We start from the raw sequence: 21,607 nt of genomic DNA, 5'->3' as shown, positions 1-21,607 counted from the left end.
CTAAATATAGTTAAGTAGATTTTTTTTTTTAATGGTCAAGCTCCTCAGAACCTCAAATAAAGCATATATCGAGAACCTCTAAGTGAAGAAAATAAAACTGTATTTCCCAGATATTTGACCATGAAATCCCCCCATCTTCAATTTCAAGCTCACTGATTTGTCTTCTGGTTATAGTCTCTCTACTTTCAACCCATCTCTAGTCCTTTTTTAAAAACAAAAACATTTCAAACTTCTAGTTGAAAATTTTTTGATACATATACTGTCCTCTCACGTCTGTCTGATGTATTATGCTTTTTTTTTTTTTTTTTTTTTTTGAGACGGAGTCTCACTCTGTCGCCCAGGCTGGAGTGCAGTGGTGCGATCTCGGCTCACTGCAAGCTCCGCCTCCGGGGTTCACGCCATTCTTCTGCCTCAGCCTCCCATGTAGCTGGGACTACAGGTGCCCGCCACCACGCCCAGCTAATTTTTTGTATTTTTAGTAGAGATGGGGTTTCACCGTGTTAGCCAGGATGGCCTCGATGTCCTGACCTCGTGATTCACCCGCTTTGGCCTCCCAAAGTGCTGGGATTACAGGCGTGAGCAACTGCACCCGGCATGTACTTTTAAAAAGCAGTTTTGTGCTATGTCCTCCTTCAACTTTTTCTCCTTCAGCGTTAGTTCTTCTATTTGTTTCTCTTTCATGATGTTGGTCTGTGTTGTTTCATCATTCTTGCTCTTGTGCCCTAGACCATCCTGTCACCAGTGACTGCCAGTAACTGGTCTTTTCCTGTTAGTAGTCCCCTGAGGCACTATTTCATCTCTTGGGCCCGTGTACCCTACAATTGCTGTTTTTGTCCAGCATACCCCTTGCTGCTTGGTGCTGATCATTTTGATGGTTGCCCGAGCCCCCGCTCTGCTCCATGGGTGCCCAGCCTTCAGACAAAAGATAACCCTAGTGGCCGGGTGCAGTGGCTCACGCCTGTAATCCCAGCACTTTGAGAGGCTGAAGTGGGCAGATCACGAGGTCAGGAGATCAAGACCATCCTGGCTAACACGGTGAAACCCCGTCTCTAGTAAAAATACAAAAATTACTCCCAGCTACTCGGGAGGCTGAGGCAGGAGAATGGCGTGAACCCGGGAGGCGGAGCTTGCAGTGAGCTGAGATGGCGCCACTGCACTCCAGCCTGGGCGACAGAGCGAGACTCATCTCAAAAAAAAAAAAAATGTAAATATATATATATGTAGCTACTCCTACTTTGGGTACAACCCTGTCCTATGCTCTTTTGACTGTGGGATCCTACTTCAATCTAGTTCTTATCTGCTTACCATTCTCCTCTACCAGGGGCACTCCATTAATTTTTTTCCCCTAGTGCTGCTATGAATATAGCAGCTTGGTTTAGACAGCTTGGTCCAGTCTTACATTCATCCTTTCTGTGTCCCCACTGTGCTTAGCACTAGATCTTACCGTGTAGTGTAGGTGATACTTGGTGTTCAGCAGATTGCTTTTGGGAGGGGGCTTGTTCTCAAGGCCTCAGTTCATTTTCCCGGCCATCGGTATACTTCCTTGGGGTGTTTCTTCTGCCCTGAGAAGGTGAGTAGCTTTCATGTCTAGTGTTTTCAGAGGCAGCAGGAGCTTCAGAGATCAATTTTAATTTTGAGCTGACTGTCCTCCTTTAGAGGCAAAGGTCCTCAAGAGAAGAGAGTAATGGCCAATAAGGGAGAGTTGTTTAGATCTTTCTCCTGCATTGGGTAGCTAATTAGATGCTGGCTGGATCTACCTGGTGGAAGGTCATAGAACCAAATCCCCACTGTGGTGCATTTCTCACCTCCCTGGTGTTGCTTCTTGATCCTGGACGAGGTGGAAAAGAGATTTCACAGAAATCTTTCATTTTACTTTGCCAGCAAACTTGTAAGGTCATGGTGGTTGATATTTGCAGTTAGCATAAACAAACAGAGGTCACCTGTGAATAAATGGCAGGGTGAAGATGACCCACCGAGCCTTCGATGCCACTCACTTAAGCTTATTTCTCAATTATCAACTCCCAGAACTGTCATCTTGACATTACAGCATACTTTGATCCTTTCTGCCTCATTCTCTCTTCACTTCTAGTTTGGGCCAGTTGTTAGCTTGTAGCAATATCATCTAGCATTTCACTATGGGTTCCTAAAAGAAGAGTCATTAGTATAAAACTTTCTTGATGTTTCTTAGGTTCTTCGGCTCCTCTGATTTTAAGAGGGTATAGTATGTTTAGGATATTGTTTCCTTTGCTGCTTAGATACTGTGTCAGATTGTCTATTTGTAAGAGTCTTTTTGTGTGTACTTTTCTGAGGTCTTTGTCATCACAGTGGACTTTTCAAATGAATGACAGTATGTATTTCACACATTTCCTGGACAGTGTGACAGGCTCATTTGACTACCGTGCATTCTGCACTTGGGTATAAATTTTTTTTTCAGGGATTATTTTAAAGTTTCCTTTTCATGATATCTAGTTTTCTGAAAGCTCACCTTGAATTTAACTTCTATGGATTATTCTTATAGATAAAAGTAATATTTGGATGATTTACCCTCTCCCCCTCCCTGGCTAAAGAAATTCAAATTACTATAAGAGAAGAGATGACTAACATAGATGGAAAAATTTGGCATGTGTTTTTCTTTTTTATAACTAGGGCATTTTATGTGGAATATTGGGGAGGGCCATGGAATTTAATCATCAAAATTATTATTTCTCCTTAAATGGAGATTTTGACAATGAAATTGTGAAAGAAAGGGTGCTCTCTGCAATGTTATATTTTTCTTTAAAAGCATCTAAGATCAAGTTTTCCATAGCAGTAGTATTTTATTCATCAACAAGAATGAAATGTCTTTCTAAACACAAATAGTGGACTTCAGACCTCACAGACACCAATTATCATTCTGCACAGAGAACATTCAAAATGTCAGATGATCTCAGGAATTTCCCCAGCGAAGGTCGCTCATTTCCTACTCTACAAGTCATTTCTTTGGCAAGCCAGTGTGACAGGCAAACTTGTGAGATTGAGTTAGCTAGGTCACTCAAAACTGCCGCTATAAAGAAGTGATGAGAAGTCTCTTGCTATCAGGTAAATCCCATTAAACTCAAATGTATCCTAAACTATTAAGCACTATTAGATCCTTAGAAGGAGCAGGAGTGGGTTGATTGAATAAAGTCTGTCCCTTGCAAGCTTTCATCTGGATTTATTGGAAAGGACTGTGGGGAGTAATTTAAGGAGGGCTAACAAATTGCTAACTGCAGGGTGTGGAGATGGTAGCAGGGCCCTGTGAGACAGTCAAATCTGATGCATTGAGATGACATGTTTGACCCCTGGTAATGGTGATGGTGAATGTGCACGTAGGTTCTTTAGGGTTTACAAAGCACCTTCACGTACATTATCCCAGCCACCCTGGAAGCTGGTGTTTTGCTAATATCTCTGCTTTACCCGCTTAGTGTGCAAGCTCATTTGAGGTAGAGATCTTGAAAAACACTGCTGTTGTTCCTCTCACACTGGTGATGTGTTTGGGCCACATGGTTGAATAAAAATATCTAGTACTTTCCCTTCTCTGAGTATTGTAAAGGATCTGCTCTGATGGTGTAGTTGGGCGGGTTTTAATGAATAATGAATAGCCCCAGAACAAGATTTTTTCCCCTTTTTGAAAATTTAAAGAATGATCCCATGGCCTAGTATTGTACTCTTTTTAATGTTTTCTTTTCTTTCTTATTTTTTGTTTCTTAAGATGGAGTCTCACTCTGTCATCCAGGCTGGAGTGCAGTGGCTCGATCTCCACTCACTGCAAGCACCGCCTCTCGGGTTCGCGCCATTCTCCTGCCTCAGCCTCCTGAGTAGCTGGGACTACAGGCACCCGCCATCACGCCCAGCTAATTTTTTTGTATTTTTAGTAGAGATGGGGTTTCACTGTATTAGCCAGTATGGTCTCGATGTCCTGACCTCGTGATTCACCCGCTTTGGCCTCCCAAAGTGCTGGGATTACAGGCGTGAGCCACCACGCCCAGCCGCAATTTGTTTTCAAATGAACACTTTGCATGGAGATGATTCTTGGAACACAGACCCTCTTTTGCCACCACAGAGACTCACCTGAGTGGGTGGGGGGAATGACATATATATACACATACATACACATAGGTATATATATATATATTTAAATGAGATGGAGCAGTGACTTAATTTTCAGGAAACAACTTCTAGAGTTATTTGTGCCACAAGTGAGCAGAGACTCAATTTTTATGAACATGAACCTGACATAAGACCAAGCTACTTGGCACAAATATCCTCGCCTTCTTCCATGAGCTCACCTGTTCTGCAGAGATGTTGTCTTGGCAGGCTGCAAGGGCAGTGCCTAAGCACAGGGATGGGTGCTTAATGCTGGCCTGTTGAGGGAGTGTCCGTTACTCTTGTAACTTCAGGCCTCAGTTACTCATGTGTCACATGGACTTTTGGCCTGTCATAATCTCAGGTTTCCTTCAGATCTTATTAATCTTTTCAAAGTAGTTAGAAAATTATTAATTTTATTAAATGTAATTAGATTTTTTTTCTTTTTCTAGCTTGCCTTCTTTCATTTTATTAATAAACCCATCTTTGGGGAATTAAATGTAGTTATTAAATTAACTACATGAAATAGATAACTTTTATTCAGGATAAAACAGCGTATAGAGATTAATATCACAGTCATCTGTGGGTCCAATGTGAAGAAGTTCCAACTACTATTTTCTCAGATTTGCTCAGATCACTTTAAAATAAAAGACGTAAAGTATAAGTGATGAAATCGAAGTCTGTTGTTGTCTCATCGGAAAATCCATGATCCCTTCTGACCCTTTAACATAGTCAGTGTCCTAAACTTGGCATGTCACCTTCCAAATGGTTTTGATATATCTATGTATGTATCTTCCTAAGATTGTTTACTATTATTATTTTCTATTTAAGTGTGCATACTCTTATGTGTTCCTCTTGTTCTACCACTTGCTAGTTTTTCCCCTGTGTTTTGCTTTGTAAATATATTTGCATTGACATATTTCAAGAGCTGGTTCATTCATTGGAACCATTTTACAGTATTCCATTGGATAGGCCAATCTTATTAATCCTTAGCTTTAATGTCTTTGGTTTTTGTTATTTCTATGTAGCATCTCTGTAATCAAGGGAGGCCTTGTGTTCTCTCCTAGGAGAGAATCTCAGATGGGCCACTGTAGCAGATAGAGGTACTGTAGCCTGTTGCCCGCTGAGATTGATATTAAATAATGGAAGAAAGTTATAAGATCAAAGGCCCAGCAGCTCTGATGTGGTGGAATGATGTGCAGAAATGTCAATAATTAAATGTAATACATAGGCCATGTCTTAGTTCATTTTCTGTTGCTTATAAGAGACAGCCTGAAACTAGGTCATTTATAAAGAAAAGGAATTTATTTCTTATAGTTATGGAGCCTGAGGAGTCCAAGGTCAAAGGGCTGTATCTGGTGAGGGCCTTCTTGCTGATGAGACCTCTTCTGCATAGTCCCCAAGGGATGCATGGTGAAGGGGCTGAGAGTACTAGCTCTCATCTCTCTTCTTTTTCTTAGAAAGCCACCGATTTCACTCCCATGATAATCCATTAACCCATTAATCCATTCATCCTTGAATGGATTGGTCCATTCATGAGGGCAAAGCTCTCAGAACCCAATTACCTGTTATAGATCCCACCTCTCAATACTGCCACATTGGAGATTAAGTGCCATATGACTTTTGGAGGGAAGAAACATTCAAACTATAAGGCCAGTTTGGGCAAAAGATTTGAGGTTAAGATTGTTTTTAAAGAAGTGCCTTTTTTATGACTAGCAGGTACATCAGATTTACCACATGCATATCAACTAACATTGTAAAGTGTGTGTGTGTCTAATACTAGATTTCTTTTTTTTTTCCTTAAACCCACATCTAATCCACAAGTAAGCTTTACCTCATCACCAAACTTTATCCAGAATCCCCTCATTTCTTTCTGTCCCCACCTCTACTGCCCTTCTCTATAGTCTAGTTGAGAGATCAGCACACTGGCCTGCTAGCCAAATAAAGCTTTATTGGAACACAGCCATGCCTATTAATTTATTTATGATTGATGGCTAGTTTGCACTACAAAGGCAGAGTTGAGTAGTTGCAACAGAGTCCACCTGGCCTCAAAGCCTATAATATTTACTATCTGGCTCTTTATAGAAAAAGTTTGCTAACCTTAATCTGGTTTAATGCAGCTCTCTCCCAATTGGTTTTATTCTCCAAACAGAAAACAGTGGCTTTTCTAAAACGTGAATTTGATCTTCTCACTTCCCTGTTTAAAACTGAGTGAATGAAGTCTAAACTCTGTATTTGCCTTACCAGCACCTGCATTATCTGGTCCCTGCTGGCATTTTCATGCTCCTCTGTCACCATACTCCCTTGTTCGTGCACGTGCCAACCCCTTTCCTACCCCAGAGCCTTGGAACATGCTGGCCTCTCAGCCTGCTGTGCTTTGCCTCAGTTCCTTCACAGGTATACCTCTTTTCTGTCTCCAGATTTCTGCACAGATGTCATTTCTTTAAAGGTGACCACTCAGTCTAAAATTGGCCTGCACAGCTCATCATGTGTCTTTCTTTTCTTTTTCTTTTTTCTTTCTTTTTTTTTTTTTTTTTTTGAGATGGAGTCTCACTGTGTCACCCAGGCTGGAGTCCAATGGTGCATTCTCGTTTCACTGCAACCTCTGCCTCCTGCGTTCAAGCTGTTCTCCTGTCTCAGCCTCCTGAGTACCTGGGATTAAAGGTGCGTGCCACCACGCCCAGCTAATTTTTGTATTTTTAGTAGAGACAAGGTTTCACCATGTGGGCCATGCTGGTCTTGAACTCCTGACCTCAGGTGATCCATCTGCCTTGGCTTCCGAAAGTGCTGGGGTTAACGGGTGTGAGCCACTGCACCCGGCCTCATCATGTGTGTCTTTCTTTTCCCTCATAGCATTTGCTGCTCTGTAATTACACTCTTCATTAATGTGTTCATGTCTTTCTTCCCTGCCTCTCCTCCTAGGGCAAAAGCTTGCTGACCACAAAGAACTTGTCTGTGCTGATTACTGCTAGATCTTGGATGTCAAACACAGTGACCACATTATGGATGCAGTGGAAAATTGTTAAATGAATGAACAAAGTATAGGTCTGCCAGTTTCCTTGGTAGGAGTTAAATGCCAGTATATGTTTATATTACCTTAATTTGTTTTCTTTATCTATAAATAAATCTTGCCTACTTCTGTTTGCAGGGTAAAATTAAGGTGATTTTCTTCTACAACATGATTGAGCTAGCATACTCTCCAGGAGGGAACAGACAGGCATTCTGAAAGGATGTTTGGTATTTTTAGAGCCTTTTATACATTTGTTTCTGCTGTTGTGCTAATATGCTAATGTTTATCAAGGTTGTATTTTTTTCCCTCCCTTTTCTTTCTTGCTGCTGGCAGAGCAGCATTATAGAGTTATGCAGCAAACTCTCCTTTGGGCATTTGTCATTACTACAAAGTGTTTTACATTTCTTTGCTCCTTAAAATATATGCTGCTTTTCTGCTGAACCTAGGATAAAAAGAACAAGGCAGTATCTTTGCGAATCTTAATTCTTTCGAGTTAGGGAAACCGATCCAGCAACCTCTCTTTCACACCTTCCCATTTTCCCAGTGAACCTCATATTCGGTACAGCTCTGTACCTTCCTGCAGTGAAATCTATAAACCAGAGCCTCCTGCTTCTTTTGCCCCAGTTGACTTCAAGGCTCAGGGCCCATGGTTGTGCACTGGGAGATAATACACCAGCACTGCCTAGTTAAAGGGCACAGGCTCCTCAGTCAGACATACCTGTATTTGAAATATGGCTTTGCCTCCAACCAGCTGTGTCACCCTGAGCAGGCACTTAGTTACTCTGAACCTTCTTTTGCTTATCTGTAAAATGAGCTTCTGCTGGTATCTTCCTTTAATTGGAGAATCTCACGAGGTAATGCTTTCCAAGTGGAATAACACAGTTTCTGGAATTTCATGGGACTCAGAAATGTTCACTAGTATTTGATTTGGATCAGCAACGTAAGACTTTGCCAAGGCACCCCAAGAAGAATGAATTCTAAAATAGCAACCTGCTGTGATCCAGTTTCTGGATAATCTGAAAGCTCAACTGTCAATTCTTTTTTGGAAGTACAGATGATTTTATTATTATTATTTTAAACTGATGCTGCTTGCTTTACTGCTAGAGGCCTTAGATAAGACATGTGGCACTATCAGAGATGCGTTGTCAATGGAACAAAAATGGTCTCGGACGCTGGTCTGATCCTAGTCTGATGTCCTGTGAAGAATAACTCAAGTGTTGTTTCTCTTGATGCGGGAACTTTAAAGTACTTTTCTTCTCTAGCTATCCACTCTAATTAAGTTTTACATCCCTTCAACGCTGGCTTTTCAGGTACCATATCGTCATTATTATTATTACCAATTTGTCAGCTGCTTTATTTGTTCATACTTTAAAATGGAAAACAGTAATTTTAGGTCAGGAATGGCAGTATAGTTTTTGTCTGTGGTGGTTCCAAGTAGTTTTTAATTGACACAGGATTTACAGACTGACTAAAAAGAGAAAAAGTCAGATGTGATAATAGAAAGCTCATGGGTTTTTTTTAGGCAGGGGGACCTGGATTCAAATCGTGACTCTCTCTTAATCAGCTGAGTGGCCTTAGACAAGCTACTTAACCAACCTGTCTCACCTTCAGACTTCTTCTGTGAGATGGGGATAACCTAGTTCAAATGAGATGAAAAGTAAATTTACTTATAGTAAGTAGCACATTTTTTCTTTTTGAGACAGAGTTTTGTTCTGTTGCCAGGCTGGAGTGCAATGGCGAGATCTCGGCTCACTGCAACCTCCGCCTCTGGGGTTCAAGCAATTTTCCTGTCCCCGCCTCCCTGTAGCTGGGACTACAGGCACGCACCACCACACCCAGCTAATTTTTGTATTCTTAGTAGAGACGGGCTTTCACCATGTTGGCCAGGATGGTCTCAATCTCTTGACCTTGTGATCTACCCACCTTGGCCTCCCAAAATGCTTGTATTACAGGTGTGAGCCACTGCGCCTGGCCCTAAGTAGCACATTTTAAGATGCTTTCTGAATGTGAGATTTTTCTAGTTCTTCCTTTTGCAAATTACTGTTCTTTTTCTGTGATTGTTGAGTGATTCAAGTATAGAAATTCCATGATTAGAGTTTAAAAATATCTCTACAAATGTATTTAAAACAATGAGCAGGGCTCAGTGGGCACTATTAAAACAAAATTATTTATATGATCACCTACTATTTTTATCTTAATGATTGCCAGGTATCTACTTGTTACACCTTTCCTCCTCTTTTATATTTCTGGATTAAATAATAATAGCTAACTTTTTTTGAGTACTTGTCATGGGCACTGTTCCAGTTTATTTGCATATATTAACTCATTTAATCTTTACAACAGCCTTTGAAGATGGGCCTGTTAGTATCCTCTATTTTATAAATGAGGAAGTGAAACTCATGTCAGCTGCCATTTCTGCCATCCATAGGGTAGGTAGGATCTCTCTGTACCCCTTCTAGAGTTTAAGAACTCAGCCACAGGGGGCTAATTAATTGGTTAATTCATTTTCTTACAGTGTGCAAAACAGGGAGAACCCAAGTGGAGAGTGGTGAAGAGTATTGCAGTGCTAAACAAAAGTGACGTTCTGTTTTCAAAGGTGACTTCCAATGAAGACTACTCTTTAGCCTGAACATGGAGGGAAAAAGAACAGTGTCAGTACCCACAGTCCTATTCTTCCTTCTACATCTGACATTATTATTTTTTTCCTTTCCATAGGCTTAGGCTTCTAATCCCGATGATTACTTTTCTTACCTATTTCTGTAGCATGTTTTCATGCTGAAAGAGAAGTTGACGTGCTGTTGTCATCGTATTAAGGCCTAAGCAGAACAGCATTATTGGTATTATTATTTTTCCTCTCACAAACAGGATTCCACTTAATCTCTTTTACCGGATGGCACAGTTAAAGTGCCTTCTTCATCAGAGCCTGTTTTAAACAAGCAGGCCTTTTATTTTATGACACTTATATTGAGACACATTGAGTTATATCTGTCTTTTCATTTGCACCAACACATTTATTTGAGGCCTCATATTTCCTAGGTAACGTGACTAAGGTAGATTTATCGGTGCTAATTTGCATACAGAACAACATTGGCAAAACTAAAATATAACAAACACATACTAACTTTTGACTTGCCACAGCCCACCAAGCATCTGCCTTCATTGCCATGCCTGTAATGAGAGGGAAATATATTTTCCTCTGAGTTTAAATCTAATTCCTTGTTTGTATTCCACTGTCGTCACTGCTGTTGAGAGCTCGAAGTGAGGTTTAAGAGCCTCTTCATATCTAACAGCAGGAGTTTATATTAGAGGTGGTAGTTCTGTATAACAGAAAATGCGGCTTTTGCTCACCCACCTCGATTTCATACCACATTTGAAGAACCCTGCTACATTTAAGTAAGGGGCAAGCCCTTTGTTTTGCACAAAAGTTAATAGAGACTTAAGGCTACACCATTGTGTTAAAGCCTGGCTTTTATTTCTTTTTCTCAATGTTGCTTTTAAGTAGATTGATATTTATGGCACAAATAATAAATGAATTTATTTAAAAATTCATTATTAAAAAAATTTTTTTAAATTATAGATTAGGTTGAAATTTCTTGGTCTGCCCTTCCCAAGTTTACTGGCAATAGCTTGGTGAACATCATCTGGACCTTTTCCTATACATTTACTTATGCATGTATCTGTCCTTAGAAGATACACATTATTGCTTCATGTGTGAACATGTGTGTCTAATATATGTTCTTCTGCTGTATGTATTGTTCTGCAGCTTGCTGGTTTCTTTTAGTCTTGTGCCTTGTAGAATAATTAGTGCTACCATGTTCAGACTTAATAGGCTAGATTAGTCAATGCTGTTATCATGAGTTATTCCTAAGATCTCAGTGGTTAACACGTCAAACGTTTATTTCTCAGTCATGCACATGTGGGTCAGGTGACATCCCCCATGTTGTAACTCTTATAATCCAGCCTAATCTCACCTGTGATTCCACCATCTCCACATGTGGCTTCCAGGTCCTTGTAGCCAACAAATAGGGCTCTGGAGGGTTGCACATGGTCTCTTAAAAGTTTTGGCATACTAGCTACAAGAGAACTGAGAAATGTAGGGGTACACATGGTTACTTGGTGATACTGTGTTGCCATAGATAATGTTAAATAGTTCACACAGTCAGAATATATTATAGTTTGTTTTGCCAGTCTTCTATTTGATGGGCATTTGGATCATTTCCAATCGTATCCTTTTGTTATGTACAATTCTCCAGAGAAGATCCTTGCATGTATCTCTGGTACATGTTTTGCTAGGATAGATACCCAGGAAGTAGACTTTCCAGGTCAGAGAATGGGGGTGCTTTAGTTTTCATAAACACTGTCAAATTGTTTTGGAAGGTGGTTGCACTAGTGTTCTGTTGTAAGGATAGTATCTGAGAAAGTGCATTTCACCTGACCTTCAACAACAATAGCATCAGATCTCGTGTGTGTGTGTGTGTGTGTGTGTGTGTGTTTGTGTTTGTGTTTGTGTTCAGTGGCATCTTCATTCCTTTTGGCAAAATGGCTTCTTCCGTTTTGTTTGAGTTTCTATTTTCTTGATTACTAGTAAGTCCTGGGCTCTTTCTAATACTGCTTTATGCTGCCTTCCCAAGTGAGCAGTACTAGTGTGCAAAGTCGAGCTGAAGAAGGCTGGAGCAAGTGCAGAGCCAGTGGGTAGACGATTTTCCCTTTCAGGGGTGTCGAGCTCAGGGACATTTCTTTTGATATTCTCTGTTGATTCCCCCACCTCCCCACCCCAGGTGCTATTTCAGTTGTTTCTACACCTCTAATTTTAAAACCATGGGGCGAAGGATGATTTCTTGGGCATGTCATTTTTTTTTTTCTGTGTAGCTGTCTGGTTTTGTGCTTGGAGTTTTTATGTCAGTTTTTGCCCACTTAGCCATTGTCTTGTTATCTTCTGGTTCTCTTTGTCCCCTGCCTCATTTTTCATTCTTTTTCTTCTGCTTCTGCTCCCTTGTTCCCATAGGCCCTTAAATCTTTATGTGTTGCTTTTCTTTTAAGTTGTATTTTTCCCCTTCCCCTCCAAGCTTAGAAATGTTTGCTCTATCAAAGAAACGCAGGAAGGAAGGGAATGATGGCAAGGATATTGTACAAGTCCAAAGGGAACAAAACCTAGGTGCCCACCTACCCCAGCTAGTTTAAGAATGTGATGCTGTTCCTATCACGGTCACTTTGCCAAAATCCATGTGAAGGAAGGAAAAAAGCTGGGAATTAGTCCAGCTTTCATCAGGCCTCTGGCTTACTATATGATCCCTAGGCAAGACACTTTCCCTCATCAGGCCTCCAGGTTCCTGACTGTAAACTGAGGTGATTGGACCCCAGTGGTCCCTTTATATCTTGAAACCCCAGTATTTGAAACATGTGACTAACTGGGAAACTTCTCCAGTATAGGGTCCCAAAGACCTTTTTAAAAGTGGATCACTGCCATTCCCCTTCACCTTCAGCCTGTGAAGCACTGTGTCAGTAAGGGCCAGTCAGGAAGACAGGGATTTTGTGAGGTCATTTAATAGAATTTAACAAAGGGCCGGAAAGATTGTAAGGCACACAGGCTTGGGAGGCAACACAGAGATGGATGGACAACAGCAGGAATCTTCCGTGAGCCATAGGAGAGGAAGGAAATGGTGTTGGCCGAGTCTAGGGCTAGCTGTTACAAGCAGAAGTCACAGCAGGGGAGATAGCAGGAGCTGGAATGTGGAAGAGAGGGCTGTCTGGAGAGACCTGGAGCTTCAGAGGAGATGCTGTTACACCCACAAAGAGGACAACAAAGCCTGGTGTCTTCCCCCTACTGTTCAGTCTCTGAACAGAGTCTCAAATTTAGGCAGAAGAGCCTGTGGAATGGTCCTGAGGGCAGGCTGGCAAATGACTGGCAGAAACAATCAAAAGGCACTGGGGCAGATGATCTTTATACTCCATTCCATTCCTTGCATTCTAGAATTCATGGATTATCTGAGAGATTCTTCATGTCTCCTGCAGCAAAGATGTTATTTTTAGGGTCATAACAGGTAGCTCTTCCTAGGAGTTGAAATAAACTTCTACCATTCTAGCATCTTAGGACAACACCTATTCACATCTCCACCTCCCTCCCTCCCAAAGCCTGGAGTAGTTACATTTTACCTTACACGAGCTCTGTCAGCATTTCGTGAAAGTCCTATTCCTGGTAGACTTTTGACGAAAGGGACACTATTTTACTTGTCTCTTATCTCAGTCTCTATCACCACAGAGCCTCTGGGACCAGAATACAAACACAGGGAACCAATAGTGTTACCCAGTTGATCCAGAAGTTTTACTGTTTCAGAGTAACTTGTGATCTTGGGCAAGTTCAGCCCGTTTCCTAATTTGTAACATGGCTTTATTGGTCAGTAAAGCCAATTGGGCAAAAAGGTTGTGCAATAGTAACAAATAACCCCCAGAATTTCAGTGGCTAAGAATCCACAAAGGTGTATTTTTTACTACACATTTACGTAAAGTCACTTGGTATATGTCCATCCTTATTCTGGTCCCTGGCTGATAGATCAGCTACCATCTTGAATGTTGCCATTCCCCATATCTAGAGAGGGCAAACTTCGATGGGGTAGGAGGGATGGCAATTAAACGTTGGCCTGAATGTGTCACACAACATATGTACTCACAACTTACTGGCTGGAACTAGTTAATTGATATGATACTGTGATATAATAAAAAAAATACATATTTGGTCTTTACCCCTGGTTCCTGGCACACAGTTCCTAAGACCCTTGGGATATCTGAAGTGATGAGTGTCTTTTCTACCCTAATGAGATGACTAGTGGTTGGAGTCCACTAGGTAGCTTCAGGATTGTGACTGGTTACTAGAAAGCCCATAGCATAATTAGAGGGTTGGGACTTTCGGTTCCATCCTCCCAGTCTCTGGGGAAGAGAGCGGGACTAAAAGTTGAGTTAATCGCCAATGGCTAATGAGGTAACAATCATGCCTATGTAATAAAATAATAAAATCTTAAGAGGACAAGGTTTGGAGAGTGTCCAGATTGCCAAATATGTGGCGGTATCTGCAAGGTGGTACCCCCAGAGAGGGCATGGAAGCTCCATGGGCATACCTTGTTATGTACACCTCTTCCATCTGGCTGTTCACCAGTGTCTTTTGTCATATCCTTTATAAATAACTGGTAAATGTCAGCAGTGGTTTTTGTGAGCTCTGTTAGCCATCTTATAAAATTAGTTAAACCCGAGGAGGAGGTCTTGGGAACTCCCAATTGATAACTGGTTGGTCAGAAGCACAGGTAAAATAACCTGGGGCTTGTGCCTGGCATCTCAAGTGGGTATAGTCCTGTGGGACTGAGCCTCTAACCTGGGGGATCTGGTGCTAACTCTAGGTAGTAGATACGGCATCGCCTAACTTCAGCTGAAGTAAGGAAGTGCCTAGAAGGAAGAAGACCGAGGATATTTCTTGATTTGCACTAATGACAGCTACAGAGAGAGATAATAATTCTTGACATTTCCTGATTGTTTTAACCATGAAACATGAATATTTAATATAATGCCTAGCTCATAAGTGCTCAATTAATAGTAGATGGAACTATTATTGTTATTATTATTCAGCAGTTTATATTACATTTCCAGCGTACTTTCTACCATCCATTTGCATAGCAGATTTCTTCTCACCCTTTTTTTACAACTGAGAATGCAGAAGTAAACATAAATTATACTTCTGTAGATGTATCACATTTTTTTTTGTTTTTTGAGACTGAGTCTCACTCTGGCACCCAAGCTGGAGTGCAGTGGCACAATCATAGCTCACTGCAGCCTCAGCCTTCCAGGCTCAAGTTGTCCTCCAGCCTCAGCCACCCAATTAGCTGGTACTGTGGGCATGCACTACCACATCCAGCTAATGTTTTCACTTTCTGTAGAGGCAGGGTCTCACTATGTTGCCCAGGCTAGTCTTGAACTACTGGGCTCAAGCAATCCTCCTGCCTCCGCCTCTCAAGATGTTGGGATTACAGGTGTGAACCACTGCGCCTGCCCACACCCAGCTACAAATTCTTAATAAGTGGAGTTGTCTTGAAGTTTTAGAGCCAGTCAGGGCCCTAGTTTTCCAAGTTTTGGATTGACAAAAATAGGTGATTATTCTGTAAAAGAATTCCTTTGTGGAGTGATAGCCGGGTGTCATCAGTGGATTTGGAACTGTGCTCATTGTCCTGGTTTTCAATTTAAGAGCAACAGACTTCAAGCTGGCTTTCATTTGAGTCAGTGTGGAAACAGTCAATATATGTTACATGTCTGTGAAGCTGGCCTCTGGATCAATTGCAATTAGTTTCCAGCAGATTGCATTAACATATCTAAAATTAATATGGCGAGTGTTCTGATGAAAAGGAATTGACCACAACCACATTGTGGCTGTTTTTAGTCTCCCTCAAATGCTCTTTTCAAACTATATTTTTTCTTTCTTTGGTTAATGGCTTTAAATTGTTATGTCAACGTAGACATAATCTATTGATTGTTCCTATTTGCCTTTTAAGAGTGGTCCTAGATAATAGCACACAGCTAATGTTTAATGTTTTCTTTCACTAAGGGGCTTTTTCGCTAAATGCCTTAAACTCGTATTTTTCTTTGTATGTTATATAACACGCTATTAAGACTATAAAGCCTTTGAGTATGTTCATTTACAGAATTTTGTGTTTTTCAAATTACTAATGTTTCATCAAGACTTAAAAAGTAAGATTAAGAAATAATGTGTAGTTAAAAAATAATATACGGTAAATGATGTGAGCATTGCTTGTCTGACAATTTATTTTTATCCCAGTATTATTTATTTCTAAAGAAGAAGTATAGGCAACTTCAATATTAAAAGCAAAACCAAACCATCATTACCAGCAGCTACAAGGACGGAACAGAGAGCTATCTTTAGGCTTGATCATGTTGAAATTTGAATTTTTTACCAGCATGTATACATTATATTATGTTTATTTCACATCTTAAGGACTAACTTGTACTTTTTTATTTTTAGAGGTGGCCAGTTTCTGGGAATGAAAAATTGTCCATATCAGGAGACAAAAGGCAGAGTTGATTCATTTGGCCATCCAAGTGGCATTTTTTGGGTGTCTTTCATATGTCAAGCACTGTCACCTTCTTCACAGAGATACAGAGAAGTTTAAGGCACACTTTCTACCCTTTAGTGGAACACAGTCTAGTAGTGGGGGTATAGAGCTTTGAATCACCCTATTTCAAAAGAGCTCCATGAATACATCATAGCTTGGGGATACCAGAAGAAAATGACATTTTAAGGACACAGTAGATGTCCCAAAAGGTAATGGCTCCATGTGATGAAGCCCTGTGGGCCTCACTTTTATGATCTGTGTGACACTGCCTTGGACATCCACCAAAGCCGTGGACAGAAGCCAGTAGGGATTGTATCAGATGATGTCCATGTACTACCAGTCTTGTGATCCAGTTGTGTGATTGATTTTTTTGGTTTGTGCATTAACTGTATTGTCATCCTTCCTCTTGTGAGTAATGTTTCCTTTGCATATGACTCATGGATGGAAAGGAGTTTACATTAAGTGTATTCATTTTTCCTGGTTTTTTTTTTTTTTCCTTCTTTTAAAAATGGGGCTTACAGATTTGGTAGGGAATACTGTTGATATTATTGGATAAAATGTAAGGAATTTATTTGTTCATGTTATTGTGTCCTTTGACTGTGTCCTTTTAACACAGATAAACACGTAGTGCATATTGGAAAACCACTTCTACTTGAAACTTAAGCAAATTTCCTTTAATACACAAGTTGCAGTTTAGGAACTAGTTTAATTAATAGTCAGTCTTTCAGGTTATTGCACTCAACCTTGGTGGATGAAAGAGATAATCTCGTTAAACACACAATGGCCCTACCCAGACTCTGTTAAAAACTGTGGTAAAGAAATGAATTAGTCTGTGGCCCAGTGACTTCAGAGTGTTTAAACAAATTTCCTGAAAAACCTTACAATGATTAACAGTCTATATACAGTTATTAAAATAATGCTATGCTCTTTATTTATTTGGGGTGAGAAGGGGGGAGCCATATCCATGTAATAGAGTCCTTAACAGTTTTTAAAATAACTTATGTTGAAATACTTGTAGACTCAAAGGAAGTTGCAAAAATAGTATAGCAGCCCCATGTACTCTTCATCCAGCTTCCCCTAATGCTGACACCTCATGTAGTTGTGGTACAATATCAAAAGCAAGACATTGATATTTGTGTATTACTGTTAACTAGATCACAGAGCTCACTCAGCTTTCAGCATTTTTAAAAAACCTGCATTCATTTGTGTGTGTGTAGTTGTCCTTAACAGTTTTTGTTAAAAAATAATTAGGCATGAATTTAAGTGGGTTTTTTTTTTCTTTTGCTTCTCTCAACTCTGGGTTGCAGATTGCCAGTCAACAGTACCTCTAAGACTGGCCATGTAGGTTGACTTTTATTTTTCTTGCTATTAATGAATGTTCTTACCTCTCTCCTTCAATTTCTGTAGGCAGTTCAATTAACCTCCAGAAGATGGCTGAACCTGCAGGAATACCAGAGCAAGAAACTGATGTCTGACAACGGAGTGAGAGTTCAAAGATTCTTTGTAGCAGACACTGCAAATGAAGCTCTCGAGGCTGCTAAGAGACTAAGTAAGCTGATTCATAATGGGTGAAATACACTTGCCCAAATCAGTGAATTCACAGGTAGTGGCTTCCCACTAGTTAATTTTTTTTGTTGTGGATTAAACTGACAGGGACAGATACAGGGGAGAGCTTAGAACTGCAAAAGCAAAAAAGTCCAGATTGCCTCATGTACATGTGTGTAAGTGTGCAGGAATCACATGGTGACTGCAGCGTGAAGGGAGGGGTCTGCTTTCAGAGCTTTGTCCCTGTGAGTCTTCAGTCCTGCTGACCTGGGAGGAGATGTGGAATCACAGGACAGCCTTCAGTGTGATGGCCTGGGTGTAGGAGAATAGAGCCTTTCTTCCCTGGCACACCTAGAGGTTTCCTCTAGACTGGGCCCTGCCTGACCCATGCTGCATGAGATTCACAGGCACCTCTGTGTCCTCAGTTCCGCCAGGATCACTCACTGGAGGCACTTGGCCTAAGTGTCAAAAACCTTAGAACAGGCTCAGTGGGGTGGCTCATGCCTATAATCTCAGTACTTTGAGAGGCTGAGGAGGGAGGATCACTTGAGTCCAGGAGTTTGAGACCAGCCTGGGCAACATAGCAGAACCCGTTTCTACAAAAACTAAAAAAATTAGCCTAGTATGGTGGTGTATGCCTGTAGTCCTAGCTACTCTGGAGGCTTTGGCAGGAGGATCACTTGAGCCCACGAGTTTGAGATTGCAGTGGGCTATGATCACTCTAACATACTCTAGCCTGGGCGCCAGAGTGAGACCTTCTCTCTCTTAAAAAAAAAAAAAAAATTAGAACAACAAACAACTTCCCTTTCTTTTCAGTATCCCTTAGGGAGGGTGTATCCTCAGAAATTCTTACAGTATGAGCATTAGGGTGTTTTCATCCCAGCTCTTTTTGAAATGAAGAATAGTACAACAGTGGAGCATCGTTCAATAATGTGTGCAGGGAGTGGATGGAAGCCTTCAACAATATTTGATAACACAAAAAGGAAATTGTGATCCATGTTAACTAATAAAGGAAATGATAACTGCAATTTAAAAAAGCAAAAAACATCAATTTAGGAAAACTTTATTCTTTTACCTGAGATAGCAGCACATGGGATGTTGCTTCATGGTAATTTTTCAGAGATTTTAGTCACTATTTCACCCACTTCTGTCAGCTGTGGGTTAGTGGCTGGGAGAAACATGGCTGAAGGGCTTGAGAAGCCTTTGCAGGGTGAGTCAGTTGTCGACATCCTTCTTTAAGTCCCTTAGAACATGGGGAGAGCACCCTCTGAGTGACTGGAGGAGACCAAAGACAAGGGCATGACTTTAAAGTCAAGCTAACTTTGCTTCAGTGTTTTGCCTTCCCTTTACCAGCTTTGTAATTCTGCAGAAGTACCTTCTCCGTCCTTGCCTCAGTTTCTTTAGGTCAAAGCTAATAGTACTTATTTCCCAATGCTATTGCGAGTCTTTAGGAGTGTATTAGTCTATTCTCATGCTACTAATAAAGACATACCTGAGACTGGGTGATTTATAAAGGAAAGAGATTTAGTGGACTCACAGTTCCGCATGGCTGGGGAGACCTCACAATCATAGTGGAAGACAAAGGAAGAGCAAAGGGATGTCTTACATGGTGGCAGACGAGAACTTGTGCAGGGGAACTCCCATTTATAAAACCATTAGATCTCGTGAGGCTTACTCACTACCATTAGAACAGTATGGGGAAAACTGCCCCAATGATTCAGTTATCTCCCCCTGGCCCCACCCTTGACATGTGGAGATTATTACAATTCAAGGTGAGATTTGGGTGGGGACAGCCAAACCATATCAAAGGGCGATTGTTGTGTGGTAGAACATCTAGCTCATTTTCCTCCTTACAGATCCAGATATTAGGGATCAGGTCCTGCTGTCTGCCTTTCAGTGAGCATCCCCACCTGTGGCATACAGACTTTGTAGGTGTCGGTCTGGATTGCCACTGTCTAGTAGGAGTATAATGTGAGCCACGTCAGTATTTTAAAGTTTTCTAACAGTCACATTAAAAAAATGAAAAAAAGGGTGAAATTAATGTTAATAATATATTCTGTTTACTCCAATATATCTAAAACAACATCATTTCAACATGTAATTAATATAAAAAGTTATCAACAGGATATTTTGTGTTCATTTTTTTGTCCCAATCTTCAGAAACCTGGTTGGAATGCTACACTTCCAGCACATCTCATTTCAGACTAGTCACATTTCAGGTGCTCAAGAGACTGATGTGGCTAGTGGCTACCATCTAGGACAGTGCACATTTGGACACTAGAAGGATTTGCATGTGCATCCTTCAGCCTTGGGAATGCAGTTATTTCCCACTAAAAATAAAGAGTTGTGCGTCTGCTACTCAGTCTTGTCCAGGTATCAGTAGCACAGGTTGAGAGTTTAGGATAGAAGCACTCTCCATATTTCAATATTCTAATTTTCTATGCTCTTTTAAGAGTAAGTCGCAGGTACTTTAGCTAGTAATTGTTGTTCTTTGAACTTTTTAAAGTTCTACCAGATGCTAATACACCAGACCCTTTCTATGTTATGTCAGTTGAAATGTATATGCATTCTCTTCTGGAACAAATATTTATCGAGGGTCAACCATGTACTAGGCACTGTGGACACAGCTGTGCAAGACAGGCAAGCCCTTTTTCTTCATAGAATTTATGTTCTAGAAAGAAATTAATTTGTGACTTTCAGATGTTAAATGTAGAAATTGAAGTGACTTATATTTTAATAAATGAAAATTGGTTTCATTTTTAAAAGCTATCAAGATTGGTTTTTACTGTGAAAAAATCCCAGTAAAATAAGATCTAAACCTGGATGAGAGCTCCTCAGTGAACTTTGATAATAGACTCAGTAAAGGTTAGTACTGTATTCCAGCCTTTTCATAAGAAAGGATCATTTTTGTTTTATACTCTTGTGGTTTGGGGATTGGGAAGTGAGAGCAAAGAAATGTAAAGTTCAAGTTGGTCTTTGATCTTCATTTCCCCATTATTTTCTTAAATACAGTGAAGCACTAGCATTGCAGGTATAACTAAGTTTTTTAAAGAGAATTCTGGAGGCCAGCTGATTACTCCCCTCACCCCTCTTAGGCATAACACCTAATCTCTTTGAGATATTCCTGGAGATATGCACTTAGTGAGCTAATTGACTTCTTAGTTATGGTTTTATGAACATTTATTTAGCCATTGTATTGTGGTTGGGGATTGTGTACCATGCTTTTTACTTGTATTTATTTTTTACTTCTTTTAGAGACAGGGTCTCACTCTGTCACCCAGTCTGGAGTGCAGTGGTGTAATCATAGTTCAGTGCAATCTCGAACTCCTGGGCTCGAGTGATCCTCCCACCTCAGCCTTCAGAGTAGGTAGGACTACAGGCACACACCACCACACCTGGCTAATTTTTGTGTCTTTATTTTTTGTAGAGATGGGGTCTCTCTGTGTTGCCCAGTTTGGCCTCAAGTGATCTTCCTGCCTCAGCCTCTCAAAGTGCTGAGATTACAACCGAGAGCCATTGCACCTGGCTGTATCATGCTTTTAATAGAATTTCTGCTCTGGAGGAATGAGCAATGTTGCATTGACGTGTTGGGCTGGGACAAGGGAGGGAAAAAAAGAGACAATAAAGCAATTTGAAGTAAAAGAAAATTAGTTCTTCAGGTATGCTCTCAAGAAATACAAACTGGATAAAGGGTTGAGAATGATAAAAGGATTGACAAAATCAAGCTGGATAAAGGAATGGAGAATGATGCATGGTTGTGTGTGTGTGCTTATAGGAGTGTGTGAGTGTGTGTGCATGCAGGTTTCACCAGTGCATATCTATGATGCTCCTTAAGGTG

General features: G+C 40.6%; 1 protein-coding gene across 6 annotated transcripts in view; it reads left to right on the top strand.

Moving 5' to 3' along the window:
- The window catches only part of SUCLG2 (succinate-CoA ligase GDP-forming subunit beta), a 294,153-nt gene that overhangs the window by 27,385 nt on the left and 245,161 nt on the right, over positions 1 to 21,607 (top strand). For 5 of the 6 annotated variants that reach the window (XR_007095763.1, XR_001740350.3, NM_001177599.2 and 2 more), the window contains exon 2: positions 17,632 to 17,773. Coding sequence is in view for 4 of the 6 variants with exons in the window: in NM_001177599.2 (NP_001171070.1) it covers positions 17,632 to 17,773 (142 nt within the window). In the remaining 2 variants the exon portion in view is untranslated. Of the gene's footprint in view, positions 1 to 7,162; positions 9,544 to 9,629; positions 17,774 to 21,607 lie in introns of those variants that run through there. The other variant, XM_047449140.1, reaches the window with a different exon arrangement.

The sequence above is a fragment of the Homo sapiens genome, chromosome 3 (assembly GCF_000001405.40).
Source record: "Homo sapiens chromosome 3, GRCh38.p14 Primary Assembly".
Classification (NCBI taxonomy): Eukaryota; Metazoa; Chordata; class Mammalia; order Primates; family Hominidae; genus Homo; species Homo sapiens.
This window is presented reverse-complemented; position numbering and strand designations above follow the sequence as displayed.